The sequence below is a fragment of the Homo sapiens genome, chromosome 18, assembly GCF_000001405.40.
Source record: "Homo sapiens chromosome 18, GRCh38.p14 Primary Assembly".
Classification (NCBI taxonomy): domain Eukaryota; kingdom Metazoa; phylum Chordata; class Mammalia; order Primates; family Hominidae; genus Homo; species Homo sapiens.
The window spans coordinates 21,326,834-21,347,119 of NC_000018.10; the positions used below are offsets into that span (position 1 = coordinate 21,326,834).

The window sequence follows — 20,286 nt, forward strand, 5'->3', positions numbered from 1 at the left end:
CAGCCTGTTGTTCCCTCCTCCTTTTTCCCTAAACTTGCTCTCATTTCCCATTTGGCACATGAAGCCTTTTGGTAGATGTCTGCTCTTCTTTTTTTGTTGTTGTTTTTTTTCACCTGGCTGTATCAGGCTTAAAGATTGGTCTAGCCACAAAATCCATTGAGACATTGAGTTTATGAAATAAATCATGAAACCTTGAATTTCTGGGGCAACTTAAAAATTACAATCAATAGTGTGTGTCATAGGATTCCTTCGGAAAAGAAGTAAAAGGATAGCTTACTACAAACAAATTTTAAAATGTTATTTTCCTAAGGTTCCAATCTGTTCTTGAATTCCCTCCTGGGGAGTCCAGGTGTTAGTAACACAAGGTAAACAGAAAGGCCCTCAGGCATGTCATGATGCAAATTCAACTCACACACATACAAAGGGCAACACTCCCATCCAAATTAATGGGATGACATTTGCTGAAGTCCTCAAACTAGAAACTTCCCAGTTATCCTAGGCTTCCCTCCCTTCCTCATGTCCCAGACCTGTTGGGTCACTAAACCCTGTCGACTCAGCATCCTACGTAAGCCTTAAATAAACGACATCTCAGCTCCACTCTCCTTGCCAGTCCCTCCTCATCTCTCATCTAGACCATTGTAGTCATCTCCCTACTGGGCTCCCTGCTTTTGGACTGTTCCTCTTCCTGTTCCCACTCTTCCATTTTTATCTTTGAATTATCTTTTTGAATTATCTCCTGTGAATTATCTTTTTGAAAAGCACATTTGATCACACCATTCTTTTGAGTACAGTCTTCAAGGACTCCCTTTTATCTGTTAAAAAAAAAAAAAGGAAGAAAGAAGAAGGCCCCAACCTTTCTTTTTTTTTCTTTTTTTTGGTGGGGTGGGGAGGTGGGGGGCACGGAGTCTCACTCTGTTACCCAGGCTGGAGTGCAGTGGCTGCGATCTCGGCTCACTGCAAGCTCTGCCTCCCGGGTTCACGCCATTCTCCTGCCTCAGCCTCCCGAGTAGCTGGGACTACAGGTGCCTACCACCATGCCCGGTTAATTTTTTTTGTATTTTTAATAGAGACGGGGTTTCACCATGTTGGCCAGAATGGTCTTGATCTCCTGACCTCGTGATCCGCCCGCCTCAGCCTCCCAAAGTGCTGGGATTACAGGCGTGAGCCACAGCGCCCGGCCAACCCCAGCCTTTCTTAACCTAGCTCCACTCTCTAGCCTAACTTCAGGACCCACATAAAGCTACACCTACTTCTGCCTGTTTCTTTATGAAGAATGTCTTCAGCTTCAACCTTTCTCTGTCATGAACTCCTGGTCATCTTTGAAGTCCTGATTCAGTGCCATTGCCCCCCCCCGTTCCCCAGGATGTTTAAGCACTGTGTGTGCTCCTCTATGAGAGCCCTAATCACACTGGATGGAATTGTCTGAGCTGTGAACTTCTGGATAGTGTAGTCTTGTTCATGTGTGTATCCTCAGCATCTGTCCCAATGCATTGAATCGAGTGAAATAAAAGCAAGTACAGGATATGCTTTGTGTATCCCAGTAAGACCCCAACCTGAAAATAGTGCCAAGACAACCAGGAAACTGACCAGTGGTCCAGCTGAGCTGCATGAAGCAGAATTAGGCACAGAAAGTCTGCAGTAGTTCAAATGGAGTCCTGAGAAATTGTGTCCAGCCCTCATGTCACCCTGGCCTGCCCTGATCTTCTTTGCTTGTTCTGCCTAACTTCTTCATTCTATTCTCTCACTTGCTCAGGGGGGTCTATTTGGCTTAATCTGTTGGACCTGCTCCTTTCTTAGCACTGAAGGCTGATGCATCTGATACGTGCATGTGTGTGTGTGTACGTGCATATGTGAATATGTGTGCATGTGTGTGTATGTGTCTCAAGATGAACTCCCAGACATAGAACTGGGTGTGTCCACTTAGGGGGTTGTATGAATCAGGGGGAAAGGGGAAAACAGGAAATGATAGTAATCAGTTATTATGTACTGTTTGCCAAATGTCAGGATTTGTATTTAATTGTTAAAACCACCTTGTGAATGGTAGTCACCATTATTATTATCCCCACTTTACAGATGAGTTAACTGAAGCAAAGAGAGACTGAGTCACACACACCCTTGAAATGTGGGGGAGCTGGGATCCAGTCAGCATATGTCTTAATCCAGAGTCACTGCTGTAAGCACAATTAGACTTAAAATATTGTAATGGAGGCCAGGCACAGTGGCTCACACCTTGTAATCCCAGCCCTTTGAGCGACCAAGGCAGGCAGATTGCTTGAGGCTGGGAGTTTGAGACCAGCCTGGCCAATATGGTGCCACCCCCATCTCTACTGAAAATACGAAAATTAGCCAGGCATAGTGGTGTGTCCCTGTAATCCCAACCAGTTGGGAGGCTGAGGCACGAGAATGGCTTAAGCCTGGGAGGTGGAGGTTGCAGTGATTAGAGATCAGGCCACTGCACTCCAGCCTGGGCGACAGAGTGAGACTCTGTCTAAAAAAAAAAAAAAAAAAAAAAATTGTAATGGACCATATTACAATTGACCCTTGTCTTACAAAGATCTCTGAAGGGCAAAATAATGAAATGTTTGCTTTTCCTTGAGTTTTTTTGTGAGCACTGGTATTTTTTTTTCTCATGAATGATTTAACTCCAAGGATAATTGTGGGCAAAAAGATACTCCTTTTGAACTTGGACTTAATCTCAAGGACTTGATTGCTTTTCCACCCAGAGTGTCCAAGGAAGACTTTCCAGACCTTTTCCTGGGTCTTACGCACCTGGCTTTGAGCAGCATTAGTAGCCTATTGCTCAAGTTTCATTCTAACCATTAGTAAATGTTTATTGGTCTCCTTGACGAGATGCCTTATGATGCAAAATAGGTAAACAAAAACAATGAGGATTGGTCCCCCTTCCCCAAAACAACCCTCACAATCCTGTTAATTTCTGGTCCTCTGCTGCTGAGGGAACACTTTAGAGTTCCCTCTGGGCTGCTGCATGCATTTCCCATCTAGCCCCCTCTCCTGTGTTACTTTCACTACCAACTCACTCTTTCTTGATTTCCAGATTCTCTGTATTCAAATTCTGGAGTATATCCTACATTCCAATTTCTTGGCACTCCTCTTTACCCACAATGGTTTTTTTTTTGGGGGGGGGGGGTCTTTATCTTGGATATAACTTTTTCCCTAGGTCTTCAAAGGGGTCATCAATCCTGCATTTAACTTTGTAACTGAAGAAAAACCATAATTAAGCCAGTTCTTATAGAACATGTGGGTCCTGGCTATGGGTCAGCTGTCAATTGCTCTGTTGGCTGGGCAGGCAGGTCAGCTGGAGAAGAAGCCCCAGAGTAGGGCCAGGCAGTGGCAGTCTGTCCTAACCATGCCAAGGGCAGCACCAACGAGCTGCAGCCCTGGCTCGTGAGGGCTGGCCTCATTATTTGGAAATTGGGAAGGATAAACAAATATTTTCACAGGGTGCGTCCAGAACTGAGTATTCAAGGTCACTGTGGTACAGACAGAATGCATGGTGTCAGTGTGTCCTAGTGTCTGGCCTTAAGTGGCCTCTCTTGGCAGCATCTGTAAAGAACACAGAGCATGCTGTAACCTCTGCTGTTGATACTGGGTGCGCTCTTACCACCACTTAGAAATCTCTAGATCCGTTTCCATTTCGTGTTGATTGCTTTGAATGTAGAGCCCAGCTTGCATTTTCTGTGGATTGGACCTTTGCCCTGCATGTTTTGCTCCTCCACTTGAAACTGACCTATACTGCTCTGACTCATTAGTCCCACCCATGGAAGTGGCAAGTACTCACAGGAAGTCTCAAATGGCCTTTGGTTTTCTTCCACTGAGGGGGGTAAGAACACACAGACATACCTAAGTCTCTCTTTGAAAAAACTTTACTAGAATGAGTCTGAAAAAAAAAATTTTAAGGGAGTGTCAGAAGCAAACTTGCTTCCTTGACATACCTAATTTTTTTTTGGATGATAACATATGCCATCCCAACTCCCCACTTCCTCCCGACCTAGATAGCATTAATGGAGGTAAAAAGCACTGAGTGACTGTTAGAATTTTTAAAAATCACAACATTATATAAGTATTGGCTTTTTCTTGCTCTTTAATGGAAATGTCCATCTGCATACAGTATAGGTTATAACACTTTCTAATATACATATACTGTTCCATAGTTTTGAGAATTTCTTTTTTATAAATCAACATCAGGCTATTTCATCTGCGGAGTTTTTTTCTGGCTTCAAAATCAGTGCCTTGTCATTAGCAAACTTCACTTACTAGTTTTAGTCAAGTCTGAGCTACACAATGGTTGAATTGGTGACTATTATATTTGTTTAACTGCTGTAAAGTAAGTTTGCAACAATAGATGCTTGCACTTAAATAGGCATGCAGAGCATTGGGGCCCTATCAATCATGCAGAGATTTCCCTCCTGCTGTCTCCTCTGATGGACAATTCTGCTGATGTGGATATTCAAAAAGAAGGGATCAGGAAGAACAGATGATGGATAAAGACAATCTTCTGTCTTGAGAGGAAATCGGAGAAATCCCTTTAAGGAATTTCTTTGTCATGGTGTCAGAAGATTAATTATGCTCGTGTGAGAACAGCTTTCTCATTGGGTAAAAAGAGACATTATCCTTCTGACTTGTGACAGAAGATTTTCAAAGAAAGAGAGTTAAAGATTTCAGCTGCTCTAAAATCTTCTTATTCTGTTGTCTTCTAAGAATTCTTGGAGACCCCTGGATTACATCCATGACATTCAAGGAGTAATGAATGAATCTGGAATTTCTGTTTCAAGAAATTCCTCCTCCTGTTCCTCATGCAGATCTTCAGAAACCTTAATACCTGAGTTTGTATATCAGCTTTAACAATGACATAATAATGTAGGTGATAACTTATTACAAACCAGGAACAGTTTCTTGTAGTGATATGGCAGAGGAGATACGGGCAGTACAACCAAAAATTGTACAGAAGATTAATAAACACAGTTTTTAACAAGGCAATGAATTCTATAATCTGAAAAGGTATCTTTAAAAAATTCACTTAATTGTATGATTTAATTTAGTTGTAAATAGTGATAATATTTAAGGTATTTACATTCTTCACAGTCACTCTGAACAAAACAAATTGGTATTCTGAAAAACCTTTGAAAGTTAGAGACTCAATATATTTCATGGAACATAAGAATAGTAAAGTTGTTCCAAGTAACTTTATTTTCCAGATAACTGAAACTTCAAAACTTAAACAACAACAACAAAAAAGATTTCAATGAAAAATCTTCCTAAAATTCATTAGTTAATACTCTGGCTTTTAAATAATGCACATTAACTGACCCAGGGTCATAAATATGAAGATCTGCTGTTGTACTACATTGAAATACATTGTCATCCTCAGGGACTGTTGAAGCATGGTGTAGGGTTATTTGCCTCTATGCTAAGTGGCCTGAGCAGCCGCATTTTTATTTCTACTGTCACTTTTTATACAAATGGAGTCTCTTTCTTTCAGGTAAGTTATGTTATCTCTTCTCCCTAGAATGTATTTATCATGTTGCTGGTAAATGGCTATTTTGCTTTATACCTGAGGGTAAGCCTGTACCTACAAAACAAACCAGTTCCGTTTATTTTCTTATTCCACTCTAAAAAAAAAAAAATTTTTTTTTCTTTTGAGATGGAGTCTGGCTCTGTTGCCCAGGCTATAGTGCAGTAGCACAATCTTGGCTCACTGCCATCTCCACTTCCTGGGTTTAAGCGATTCTCCAGTCTCAGCCTCTCAAGTAGCTGAGATTACAGGTGCCTATCACCATGCCCAGCTAATTTTTATATTTTTAGTAGAGGTGGGTTTTCACCATGTTGCCCAGGCTGATCTTGAACTCCTGACCTCAAGTGATCTACCTGCCTCACCCTCCCAAAGTGTTGAGATTACAGGCGTGAGCCACCACACCTGGCCTACCACTGTAAAAATTTATTTTTGGCCAGGTGAAGTGGCTCAACACCTGTAATCCCAGCACTTTGGAAGGCTGAGATGGTAGAATCACTTGAGCCCAGGAGTTCGAGACCAGCCTGGGCAACATAGTGAGACCCTGTCTCTACAAAAAGTTAGATAATTAGCTGGGTGTGATGACATATACCTGTAGTCCCACCTGCTTAGGTGGCTGAAGTAGGAGGATCACTTAAGCCCAGGAGGTTGAGGCTGACTGCAGTGAGCCATGATTACACCACTGCACTTCAGCCTGGGTGACAGAGACCCTATGTTAATACACACACACGCGCGCGCGCGCGCGCACATACGGTCTCTCTTATTTCTGGGTATCTAACTGGTTCTAGGCTAGGTAGTAGAGGTTTCCCAGAAGTCTGGTGCCTGGAAGGATGTATTACTATACATGCACATATACACACTCGCATGCACTGGGTTCATTTATTATAACTGGGTTCATTTATTAACTATTAATTGTATAGTGATAGTGATACAATATTTATGTTATGTATAATGTATTATCTTAGTTACTCTGTGATTATATCATCAGGGTAATAGTTTTATATCAGAGCCTTAAGAATAGATTTCTAAGGCCGGGCATGGTGGCTCATGCCTGTAATCTCAGCACTTTGGGAGGCCAAGGCAGACGGATCACCTGAGGTTGGGAGTTTGAGACCAGCCTGGCCAACATGGTGAAACCCTGTCTCTACTAAAAATACAAAAATTAGCTGGGTGTGGTGGCAGGTGCCTGTAATCCCAGCTACTTGGGAGGCTAAGGCAGGAGAATCGCTTGAACCCAGGAGGTGGAGGTTGTGGTGAGCCGAAATCATGCCATTGTACTCCAACCTGGGGGACAAGAGTAAAACTCTGTCTCAAAAAAAAAAAAAAAAGAATTCTAGTCTGGGTTTGGTGGCTCACCCCTGTAATCCCAACACTTTGGGAGGCTGAGGTGAGAGGATTGCTTGAGGCCAGGAGTTCAAAAGCAGCCTGGGCCACACAGCAAGACCCCATCTCTACAAAAAATTTAAAAATTAGCTCAAAGTAATGGCATGTACCTGTAGTCCCAGCTACTTGGGAGACTAAGGTGGGAGGATTGCTTGAGTCTGGGAGGTTGAGGCTGCAGTGAGTCATGGTTGTGCCATTGTACTCCAGCCTTGGTGACCGACTGACGAAGATCTTGCCTAAAAAAAAAAAAAAATTACATTTCTAGTGACTGTACCACTTTAGATACTTCTTCCCTACCTTTCCTAGGGCCCCAACATTGCTATTGTGAAATGGTAGTCAAACCTTGGTTTTAAATAAAAATGAACTATTACATTCCTCAAGACAAAATCATTAAAATGTGCGTTAAATATTAGCTAATGTTAGTAAGTTTTGCAGTAACTATAGTAATTGTAGGGTCCGATTCAGATTTTTGTAAGAGTTTGTAGCCATGACGAAGTGAGTGAGTCTTGTTTTAATTCCACTTGGTATCAGTACCTGGGTAAATAGATTTAGGTTCAAAATTTAGAAATTTTGAGTTTTGAGCAGGATCTAAACTTTATTATCAGTTCCATATCCAGTTTGAGTTTTTTGAAGATGATAAAACTAAAGTGATGATTCTCATGAAACATAGAAAGTGTTTAAGAAACAGTTCCAGGAAAATAAAAGTCCAAAAAAGTTTTCTTCTTCCTTTGTGAAGAGGGAATTGATGATTCTGTTACATTTTGTCTTGCTGGATAAAAAAATCACCCCATTATTGATCACGAGGTCAGGAGATCGAGACCATCCTGGCTAACACAGTGAAACCCCGTCTCTACTAAAACAAACAACAACAAAAAAAATTAGCCGGGCATAGTGGCACACGCCTGTACTCCCAGCTACTCAGGAGGCTGAGGCAGGAGAATCACTTGGACCCAGGAGGCGGAGGTTGCAGTAGGCTGAGATTGCGCCACTGCACTCCAGCCTGGTGACAGAGTATGACCCCATCTCAAAAAAAAAAAAAATTGCCCCATTATTATCCTTTTGTGCTCTCTTTTAGCAGGATGAATTAACCTTTGAGAGGCTTTAATTAAAACTGGAGGTAATTCATCTTGATGACTTAGAACATTTGAAGATAAAAGTTTACTAATTAATAAAAAATATAGCCAGTTACAGAAAATGTTTCTCTCTTTGTCTTTGTGAGCCTACCATTAAAAGAGAACAATCAATTTATCCCCCCACTAGCTGTATGAATTCAGTGGAAAAGAACTTTGGGTTTTCTCCTTCCTAAACCCTTGCTAAATTGTTCTGGCAGTACATAAAAGTGGGTCATTTGTACCTAACATATTTTACTGATGCTCCATTAATCTTAGTGACAGTGTTCTCTCTTTCCCCGTAATAAGCAGGACAGCAGGTTATTATGGGAAAAGAGGAGACGGTAAACGTTTTTTAAATGACTGTATAATAGGAAAAGGCCATTTAATACTTTGGAGCCTAGCCTTTTTGAGTATGGATACATGATCAAAATACCCATGATTGTTTTGTGTTATTTTTTGTATTATTTATTAATAGCATATCATACCTTTAGCATTAAGAATAATGTTAAAACAATTTGTGAAAAAGATCATGTGTGTCTTTGGATGTATATCAAGAAGGTCTTCATTCCAAAAACAAATGGTTTGTAAGACAAAATTAATCTGAGAAGTTAGATGAATCAAGGACAAAAGATTTTTTTGGAGGGCTATTTTGTTTTACATGTAAAAGCTCTATCACACTGCTTCTTATACACAATGATTAAAAGGCAAATTAACTTAAGACTTGAGAGTTTCTCAGCTGTTGAGCATTTAAACTAATCTTATGAAGGCCTTGATTATAGCTATAATGTGTTTTGCATTTCTTTTTTTCTTTTTTTTTTTTTTCGAGACAGAGTCTTGCTCTGTTGCCCAGGCTGGAGTGCAGTGGCTCAATCTCGGCTCACTGCAAGCTCCGCCTTCCGGGTTCATGCCATTCTCCTGCCTCAGCCTCCCGAGTGGCTGGGACTACAGGCGCCTGCTACCATGCCTGGCTAATTTTTTGTATTTTTAGTAGAGACGGGGATTCACCGTGTTAGCCAGGATGGTCTCGATCTCCTGACCTCGTGATCCACCTTCCTCAGCCTCCCAAAGTGCTGGGATTACAGGTGTGAGCCACTGCACCCGGCCGTGTTTTGCATTTCTTAAAATAATTTCATCATTAAAACATTCTTCATTCTTTCAGTGAGAGGATGCTAGATGAGCAAGGCTGCACTGACGTTCTATCTTGGTCTCCTCTGTTAGTGGCAGGTTTCAAAGGTTAAACTAGCTACAGGTGAAAGGTAATCACTAGTAGTTTGGTACCTTTCCAGATCCCACTGGAAACTGTAATAGCCAACTCTGTTCATTTGTAAAGAAAAAAAGAAAAGCCATTCCCTGAGTAGTATGGAATGGGAAGCAACCACCCTCTTCTTCCCTCTTACTTAAATAAACAAGCTAAATGGAAAAATAAACTTTACTTCTTCACATCTGGTAGAAAGCTTTCTCTTCTGTTGAAAGTTCACATGCTCCCTTTGCTGTGCTTGGCCATGTGAACCAGGTGTCTCCCTTCCTTCCGTGAAGTGACCTGCGTAGCTGCCATAGTGAGAGACCCTGATTGCTTTACCAGTAATCCAATAGCATTATTATATAGCAATAAGCAAAATAAATCCCTTAGCATTGGGAATTACATGGGATGACATTCACCCCAGCTGCCCGCATACCTATTAGTAGTAAAGCAACAGGACCTTATGACAGTAATGCTGCAAGGAAACTTTGAATAAGCACATAAATTCTGCTGGGTCCCCCTTATATGGAGTCAGATTATACTTATTCTTTTGCATGTGCTCTACTTAATGGGACTAATTTTCAGTTTATACAGTGATCTATTTCCCTTTCTGGCATACACTAACTTTAGCAAGCCAGAGCACGATGCTATAGGCAGCGGCACCATGATTTCTCAGGCACACTGGCATTTACTTACCACCAGCATACTGCTAGTGGTCAGAATTTATCTTTGCAGACTCCCTGTGCATCTTTCTATACCCTCCCTACCCCGCTCCAGCCTTTTTGCTTCTGGACCACTTTATCAGAACTCTTCTCCTTTCTGGTTTATCCTTCTCTAGTGAAATACTTCAGTAATTAGTATTCAATAATGTGATTTTATTGCTTAACTTTTCCATGAAATGAGGGTGTCAAGTATCATTTGCAGCCTCCTTAACCTCAAAATTCCACAGACTTGATATCTCTTATTACATAGTTGAACATTCCGCAGTGTTCTTTAGGAACACATACCCTTGATGTGATGCAGGATCCAGTGATGATTATTGAAAGCTTGGTTAAAAGCCATTTTAGAAGAAAAAGTAGAATATAAAACTTGGAGGAATCCCTTTTTCTTCAGATCCTAAGCATACTGTTGAATCTCAGTGATTTTGTGAGGTTTTATTTCTGATGAAGCTTTTGGGATTCTTTTGCTGTTTGTTTTTAGTGTTTTGATTTTTTTTTTATGTTTTATAATAAAGAGCCTAGTTGATAAACAGTGTTTAATTGTGTTTAGTATTCTTGTTCCAGGATAGTGCTAGCCTGAGAGGAAAAGGTAAAGGTCAAATGCTACAGGCATCCAAGAAGTAGTGGAGAGTGGACGTGATACTCATCCCAGGACCAGTTGCTGCTGTAATGGCAAAACGGCCTTTCAAAACTCTCTGGTGCTTGTAAGCACCCTTCTTGAGGAATTCTGAGCACTTTGTGAACAGAACCATAGAATGGCAAGGGGCTTAAGAGGCACCATAACTGATTTGTTTCCATTTTCTGAAGGAGGAGATAGAAGCACAGAGCAGTCAACTATCTAGTCCTAAAGTCAGACAGTGAGAGGTCTTTTTAAAAATTCTTTTTTTCACCGGGTGCAGTGGCTCACACCTGTAATCCCAGCACTTTGGGAGGCCGAGGCGGGTAGATCACGGGATCAGGAGATCGAGACCATTCTGGTTAACACAGTGAAACCCCGTCTCTACTAAAAAATACAAACAATTAGCTGGGCGTGGTGGTGGGCGCCTATAGTCCCAGCTACTCGGGAGGCTGAGGCAGGAGAATGGCGTGAACCTGGGAGGCGGAGCTTGCAGTGAGCCGAGATCGCACCACTGCACTGCAGCCTAGGCGACAGAGCAAGACTCCGTCTCAAAAAAAAAGAAAAAAAATTCTTTTTTTCTCCTTTCTTTTTAATATGTTTGGTTAATCCTTACAAATAAGCATCCCATTTAATAATTATACACAATTTTGATCTCTCTCTTAATCCAAATAAGTGGTTTTTCAAACTCTAATGTCATAGAATCAAGCTTAGGGCTGCCTATTTTCTTAATCCATCAACCCTTTCTGGGGTGTTCAAAATGCAAACTCCTGAGTCCTTTCCTAGACCCACTGACTCATGAATCTCTGAGAGGGAATAAGAGCTCTACATGGCAACAGTGTTCCTCAGGTGATGCTGATGCAGTCCTTGAGCTAGACTTTGTGAGAAACACTGATCTAAAATTCTGAATGTAAAGAGTGTTTCATTGGCCACACCAGTCACATCAGGGAAAATCAGTAGTAATTCCAAAGAGATTTTCTATTTTGTTATATTCAGATCAAATATAGCCCATGCTGTAGCCATTGCTGAAACAAATGGAAATATCTGTTCTATTCTTCCTTGCTACTCCAGTTTATCATTCAGCACTTTCTACCACCACCATCACTGTCAGACCAGCAAAATGACTTTCAGAGCCTATCTCTGGGCACCAGGCCTCAGGGCTGACCCACTCCACCTCACTTGTCTGTTGATTGTCTTCATCCACAGCTATGATCACTTGTTTCTCCATGCTGTTTCTTCCTAGGATTCTCCTGTGTTTCTTCACTTTTTACCCCAAAATAAAAATAAGTTGTTTTTCAACTTAAGCCACCAGCCTACATATCTCAACTCCTTTAGGAGGTTCCTTATATTTTACTTCTCAACAAAGACTTTCCCAAGGCAGATAACAGAATGAAAGGTTATAAAGGAGAGTGAGGATCATGTCCGTGGATCAAAAATTATCAGTCTGAGTTAGGTTTTAAACTTATCTTATTAGGCCGGGCACAGTGGCTTACGCCTGTAATCCTAGCACTTTGGGAGGCTGAGGTGGGCAGATTACCTGAGGTCAGGAGTTCAAGACCAGCCTGGCCAACATGGCAAAACCCCGTCTCTACTAAAAATACAAAAATTCCTGGCGTGGTGGCGGGCGCCTGTAATCCCAGCTACTCAGGAGGCTGAGGCAGGAGAATTGCTTGAACCCAGGAGGCTGAGGTTGCAGTGAGCCGAGATCGCACCTCTGCACTCCATCCTGGGTGACAGAGCCAGACTCCATCTCAAAAAAAAAAAAAAATTATCTTATTAGAAAAGTTGAAATTTAAAAGGCACATAGTGGAGTCAGAATGTATTTGATTGTATAGAATCATGTAAGAGTGGACTAGGAATCCCATATTGTTTCTTCTATTCTAAGGCAGTTTTAGGCTGTCAGTCTGACCTCAGATATTTCTAATCAGGAATTTTCACAAGCTGTGTAAGTAAAATCATGTTTAACCAACATAGCATTAGTTATTTCTCCCTTGAATTTTGATTAACAATTTGATTACAGTTTGGACCATTTTACATATTCTTTTCTGTGACTATGGAGAATTTAGTGTAGCTTAGCCTGAAAAGCATATGATAGATTTTAAAGGACCTAGGTTTGAATCTTAGCACTGCTAACTTTCTTGAACAAGTCACTCAACCTTTTAGAGTCTGTTTTCTCATGTAATGAATGAAAGGCTCTATCTCATAATGTCATTATAAGAATTAAGTGAAGCAAAGTGTTCAAAGCTTTCAATGCAGTTCTGAGATGTTGTTTATAAAATTTTGGTTAATTTAGACATTGGTTATGTCTAATGACAATTAGGAAACCTCTCTCAACCTTAGACTAAGATAACATTTTGTTGGGTCTATTGTGTTCATAAGATTTTTTTTGAGCAACCTAAAATAATAACATTCTTACAAAGATCTAGAACCTACAACAATACAATTATTTTCACTTTTATTCTGATTACCTTTTACAGTGGACACTTTATTGACAAAACCCAAGTCCACCTCACCTCTCTGGCAGCTACCTAAGTGGTATGGGTTTATTTGTGTCTCTATTTTTGCTTCATTTGTTTGCTTCTAAGATCCCTCCTGGCTCAGGCCATGCTCCTCGCCCCCACCCGCAGGATCTGATGCTACAGGAATATAATTGTGGTCCCACTACCACAACCCCTCATTGCAGCACAATAGAAAAACATTGGGGCCGGGTGTGGTGGCTCACGCCTGTAATCCCAGCACTTTGGGAGGCTGAGGCGGGCAGATCATAAGGTCAGGAGATCAAGACCATCTTGGCTAACATGGTAAAACCCTGTCTCTACTAAAAATATAAAAAAAAATTAGCCGGGCATGGTGGTGGGCACCTGTAGTCCCAGCTACTTGGGATGCTGAGGCAGGGGAATGGCGTGAACCCTGGAGGTGGAGCTTGCAGTGAGCTGAGATTGTGCCACTGCACTCCAGCCTGGGCAACAGAGCGAGACTCCGTCTCAAAAAACAAACAAACAAAAAAAACCACATTGGTTTGGAGTCAGAGGACATGCATTTGAGTGTCAGTATTTGGCTACTTATGAGTGTGGTAATTTTATAAAGATTAACCAAGATTTTTTCTTTCTTTTTTTTTTCTTTTTTTGAGACGGAGTCTTGCTCTGTCGCCCAGGCTGGAGTGCAATGGCACAATCTCAGCTCACTGCAACCTCTGCCTCCCAGGTTCAAGTGATTCTCCTGCCTCAGCCTCCTGAGTAGCTGGGATTACAGGCGCACGCCACCATGCCTGGCTAATTTTTTTGTATTTTTAGTAGAGACGGGGTTTCACCGTGTTGGCCCAGCTGGTCTTGAACTCCTGACCTCATGATCCACCCGCCTGGGCCTCCCAAAGTGCTGGGATTACAGGCGTTGAGCCACCGCACCCGGCCCTAACCAAGATGTTAATAATATACATGAAAGAATTCTATAAAGTAGAGAAGTGTGTTCTTCCCATGGTTAGGGATTTATATAAGGAGGAGTGTTAACATTTGTTGCATACCTAATACATGCAACGTACTTCACATACATTATCTTCTTTACTGTAACACTATGAAGTAGGAGATATATCCATTTTACAGATAACTAGCCTCAAGCTACATGATTATGAAGTAGTGAAGCATGATCACCACTGCCTGTCTTGGCTTTCAGAGCAGTAATGGTCAGGCCATTTTTGGTCCTGCCTTGGCTACCAAGAAGAGAGGAAAGGAGTAGATGAGAAAATGGAAGGAGACCCTGTGTGTTGCAGTCAGCAAATAAGGAGCTATCTGAGAATTTGTACTAGTCACTGACTTGATAGGATAGATACCTGCCACTTGTCTTTATGACAAAACTGGAAAGACAGGAGAGGCCACAGCATTGGCAAGGGTTCCTCCAGTTGAAAGTTTGTGGTGGGGAGCCGTGCCTCTCATCTGCAATCATCTTGAAATATGACTCAGCCACAAGCTTCTTGATTTCTGTACTTCCCTTGTCCTCTGTCAAACAAATGTGATTGCAAGTGCTCACTGCAGCCTGGGCACAAGGCATCTTTCCACCTCAGCTTCCAGGGTAGCTGGGACTATCGGCATACACCACCACACACAGATAATTTTTTAAATCTTTTGTAGAGACAGGTTCTTGCTGTGTTGCCCAGGCTGATCTCAAACTCCTGGCCTCAAGGGATCCTCCCACCTTAGCATCCCAAAGCACTGGGATTATAGGTGTGAGCCACCACACCTGGCTACTTATTATAATTTTTAAACCTAAAGGAGTGGTGAAGCCAAAAAGCATTTTGGAGTTCATACTGACTGAATTTTTCTAGTGTTTTTCTGCTTGAACACAAATGAAGTCAAAGCTTTCACCTGGCCTGAAAGCTTCAGGTGACAGCAGTGTATTAGGTGTAAGGTCTTTCCTTCCATGTCAGTGCAGCCTTGCTTATGACCCTATTAGGCTTTGACAAAACGATGGGAATACTTTTCAAAGGGAAAGTGGGAGCTGAACTGCTTTTGTTGGTGGTGAGGGGCCATTGTTATAATCAAACAAAACTGGGGAGATATGATGAGAAATTAATTTCCTGAAAATAGAAATTATAGGGAAAGATTTTCATTATTAAACCTCAATTTTGGCTTTAGGGTTTTAGGATTAGCATTTAAATTATTGGAACCATTTTTGCCTATGTGCTTATAGGGTCTCTAAATGCATTTGTAAAATTTCAGACTGATTGATGGCCTGAATTGATGTTCAGTCCATCATCATGGACTGAATGTTGAAATGATGTCCACAACAAATTTTAATGTCATTACAGACCTTTAAAATGTTAAGAAGATTAAAAGAGAAAAAGGCCACTGTGTCTGGTTGGTGAATTTTGGTCATGAACATGTTATATTCAAGAACCATCCTTAGGTCCTTGTTCTAGGCTTCACTGCCTCAAACAAAACTTAGATGGGATTTTTTTTTTCTGTAATAATTACACTTAAGCACCTGATGATCTAATGAAGACAATTTCTTAATGTGCCAAAATGAGTTCTTTGTATCTTATTTGAATCTTTTGTTGCTTTAAGCTAATCTGCTTTAGGGTTCTCAAATCCAAGCATTTTACAATGCAGGCTCTAGCAATGGCATTCATCTGGAATGCTGCCTTTTGTTTACTAGCTTTACCAGACGCTCACTGCTTCCTTTGGTCATCTGGTGTCTTAACTAATGTGATTTGTTCTCCTAGGCTCTGCAGGTAGCCATGAGCCTCTATAAGTGAGATTTACAATGGGACTCACCACCCTGGCTGCTAATGAAGGTAGCCACAGGGATTTCATTTTGTTTTTTCATCTGTCCCCCAAAAGAGTAGAGGAAATTGTGCTGTGGGTTTTCTAATTCTCCTTGTTTTCCATATAATTTTTACAATTGATTTACTAACCACCATGCAAAAATATAAATATTTTTGTTTAGGAGTCAGAATGTTTCCTCTGCCAGCCCCTCATGCTAATCACTAGAATTGTTTATTATTGAACCTGAAAAGAACAAAGTGAAGTCTCTGTTTAAATTTAACCAATTGGCATTTTACCTTCATCTGTTTTTGTCTTTGAGGAAGATTTTTGACCAATTTGGTTATTTAAAAAACAAAAACTGTGTGACTGGGCAACTTGGATTCTGGTTCCAGCCTTGCCATTTAGTACCTAAGTCATGGACACCTTTTGGTTTCTTATCTGGAAAAAAAAAAAAGGGAGTTAGTCAGCAAGGTACATATAAGAGCCAAGATGATGTTTTATATTCTTCTAGCTTTCTTTTCTACTATCATAGTGAACTAAAGTGCCCCGACTGGATTCATGGGTAAACCTACCATTGAAAAACAACCTTGTATCTGATAAAATGTCTTGCCTAGCTGTCAAAGCAATAAATATAAAATGTTAGTGTCTTCATTTTAGAAATGCTATGATCTCTAGATTATAACCCAATTTTATAGAGAGAGGGATTTGTCCATTTCCAGTAGGGAAACACAGAGCCCATGTATTATTGTGCTTCACAAGACAGTGGTTCTCAGGTATGGTTTAAAGGTCTCCCAAAGGTCATGGAATCTTTGGATTATACAACAAGAGAGGGCATAAGCAATTATTGGGTTCAGTCCACTCAGTTTTACTAATGAGGATCAAGAGACCCAGAAGTGCTTAGTAGTTTGTCCCTGGTCACAGAATTTATCGAGCTGCCAGTAGAGCCCAAACCCCAAAGACAAAATGGCCGCATACCAGGGTGGACATGTCCTCGCTACCTCTTAATGAAACACAGGGAGCAGAAGGTTGAGAAGAGAGATTTTTTTTTTTTTTTTTTTTTTTGAGACAGAGTCTCGCTCTGTCACCCAGGCTGGAGTGCAGTGGCACTGTCTTGGCTCAGTGCAACCTCTGCCTCCAGGATTCAAGTGATTCCCCCACCTCAGCCTTCCAAGTAGCTGAGACTACAGGCATGTCCCACCTCAGCTTCCCGAGTAGGTGGAACTACAAGTGTGTACCACCATGCCCGGCTAATTTTTGTATTTTTAGTAGAGACTGGTTTGACCGTGTTGGCCAGGCTGGTCTTGAACTCCTGACCTCAAGCAGTCCACCTGCCTTAGTCCCCCAAAGTGTTAGGATTACAGGCATGAGCCACCATGCCCAGCCTGGATTGTTAACTCCAAGTCTGAACACTTAAAAATCACTGCTTGAGGCTGGGTGCGGTGGCTCACGCCTGTAATGCCAGAACTTTGGGAGGCCAAGGCGGGCGGATCACGAGGTCAGGATATCGAGACCATCCTGGCTAACATGGTGAAACCCCGTCTCTATGAAAAATACCAAAAATTAGCCAGGCTTGGTGGCAGGCGCCTGTAGTCCCAGCTATTCGTGAGGCTGAGGCAGGAGAATCGCTTGAACTCGGGAGGTGGAGGTTGCAGTAAGCCGAGATTGTGTCACTGCACTCCAGCCTGGGCGACAGAGCAAAACTCTGTCTCAAAAACAACAACAACAACAACAACAACAACAACAACTGCTTGATAGTGTTAGACATTTGGCTTGTTTCTCCATTGCAACTGACAGTGTAAAGTCAATCTGATCTCACAGATGTTGTACTGAGGTGATGCTCCTGCAAAGGTGTTGAAACTATAGTTCCTCCCCTCTGGGAATTTACAGTCTAATCTGGGAATAAAACAAGTATACAAGTAGTACTGTGTGAGTTAGTGGGAATAAAAATGAATAAAACACAAACTGTGACTCTAAAGATTTCAAAATCTAAAGGAAAGATGGATTTTAATACAACTTCGTAGGCCAGGTGTTTAATAGCTGGTCAAAGGTAAATTCAGGGTCATCTGGGAACTCATAGGCAGTCTTAAATAAGACTGTAAGAAATGAAAGAAACTTACAGTAAAATGCTGGCCAGTGTTCCTACTCTTGAGTTGGTGATCGCTACTGGAGAAAATCTCTCATCATTGCAGACTGAGATCACTCTAAATTCATTGTCCCTATCCCTAAATGTGACCTAATTATATCTTTGACTGCCTTTGGCTGAGTTCCTTTCCTTTTTATCTAATCAATTATTCCAAATCTATTCCACTCTCTTCAAGCCTGTACCCACCTGCCCCTTTCTCAGCAGGCTGCTCCTCTCACTTCTAGGAATCCCTGAAGAGTCCCATTAATTGCCTTGACTTTAGCTGACCCTAAGTACTAGTGAAGCCAAGTTCTTTATCTCCAACCCTGGGTTCCCTTGCACTTCAGACCCTATTAGATTACTGCTGGATATTTCCATTTGGTTGTTTCACAGCCATTTCGAAAACCATATGTCTAAGAACTGAATGGATCACCTTCTGTCCAGAAATCTCACCTTCTTTCTCAGGGTTCCCTGAATCAGAAAAGGTACCATCATCCACCCCAGTTTGCCTGAAAAAAGAACTACTCTGGCTGGAACATGCCATGTCCAGGTAGGAGGCTGCAGTAATCCTTGTCGTGGTCTTTAACACGTTGTGTATAATTGCATGAGAAATAGCATTGTCAAGTGATTAAAAACATGGCTTTGAAGTATGATGGATCTGTGTTTGATTCCTGGCACCATCACTTGTCAGTCAGCTGTGTGACCTTGAGCCAACTATTAAACTTTCTAAGACTGGGTTACCTTTTCTGAAAGATGGAGACCATAATAGTACTTACAGGCCAGGTGCGGTGGCTCACACCTGTAATCCCAGCACTTTGGGAGGCCGAGGTGGGTGGATCACTTGAGGTCAGGAGTTCAAGACCAGCCTGGCCAACATGGTGAAACCCATCTCTACTAAAAATACGAAAATGAGCCAAGCATGGTGGCATGTGCCTGTAATCCCAGCTACTCAGGAAGCTGAGGCAGGAGAATCACTTGAAACTGGGAGCTGGAGGTTGCAGTGAGCTGAGATCATGCCATTGCACTCCAGCCTTGGGGACAGAGTGAGACTCCATCTCAAAAAAAAAAAAAAAAAAGTACTTACAGGGTATTCTGAGGATTAAATGAGTTCTCACATATGAAGCATTCATCATAGGTATCCCTAAGACCGAATAGAGCAGAGATCATTTAGATCATTTCTGACTCACTCACTTCTGTATCTGCCAGTCCTGACACAAAGAAGGCACTCAGTAAATACTCGTTGAATGAGAAAATGAGGTAGCGGCATGCCTAGATTAAGCTACTGACAATAGGGGTGGAGAAAAGAAGCAATGCAAGGCAGAAACCTCGACGTCCTCCTGAATTACTTCGCCGTGTCATCAATCACTAATTCCCACTGATTTCATTCCTAAATATTTCCCAGGCTCATCCCACCCTCTGTAACCCTCCCATAACTGCACCCACACAGGCTATCATGACCACTCACTAGGACTATAGTAGGAGTTTCTAAACACTCTCCCTGCATCCTGTTTTACTTCCTCACAAGCCCCTACCAGACTGCCACCGGGGAAATCCGTTCAAAGCTAAAATGTGAACATGTCATTTCTTTGCTTAACACTCATTCACGGCTATCTTTTATCTATAGGATCTAGTTGCAGCAATTGAGACCTGGGCTATATTTCCATCTTTCTTTCCTAACATGCCCTCTCTCACACTTGGGAGTCTAGACCAAGATTACTTGGTCTTGGTCTTATCTTCTGGACATACTGTGCTATTTCATGTCTTCATGCTTTTAAGAGGTTTCTGGTTATTCTTGTTCTTTCCACAGCCCTTTCTCCTGTCCTAATTAGGTTTACATTTGTCTGCAAATGACAGGAAACCTGAAACAGCAAGTTAGAAGTTTCTTTCTTCTTGGCATAACATTTGGAGGTAACAGTCCAAGACTGATAAAGCATCTCTGCTATCATCAGGGAGCCTCGGTCCTGTCTCGTGCTTCTGCCATCAATGTGTGGCTTCCATCCTTGTTCTCTCTCTCTTCTCTGCCCCCTCTAGAACCTTATTCCATTAGTCATCAACTCTTCCTTTTCTTTAAGGAAAGAACCTCATCCTGCAAGCATCCCTCCTTCTAATTATTTCTTCCTGCCATTGTACCTTTCTGACAATTACCAACCTATTTCCACCCTTGTTCACCACACTTGCTTCTTGAAAGGCTAATCGCATGCCATGGGACATTTTCATTCCTGATCCTATTTGACTTCTCCTACCTTTTAAAACTGTCTACCACCGATCAGCCTGACCAATATGGTGAAACCCCGTCTCTACTAAAA

General features: G+C 41.7%; 1 protein-coding gene across 24 annotated transcripts in view, besides 1 other annotated feature; it reads left to right on the forward strand.

Moving 5' to 3' along the window:
* Positions 1-20,286, forward strand: part of GREB1L (GREB1 like retinoic acid receptor coactivator) — a 283,881-nt gene that overhangs the window by 84,602 nt on the left and 178,993 nt on the right. The gene's annotated exons all lie outside the window — the stretch shown is intronic.
* Positions 15,476-16,074: an enhancer, noted in NCBI's record as "OCT4-NANOG hESC enhancer chr18:18922270-18922868 (GRCh37/hg19 assembly coordinates)". NCBI's record gives its function as "activates a minimal SCP1, AML or CMV promoter by ChIP-STARR-seq in naive H9 embryonic stem cells {active_cell/tissue: H9 hESC(naive)}" and the evidence as "EXISTENCE:reporter gene assay evidence [ECO:0000049][PMID:30033119]".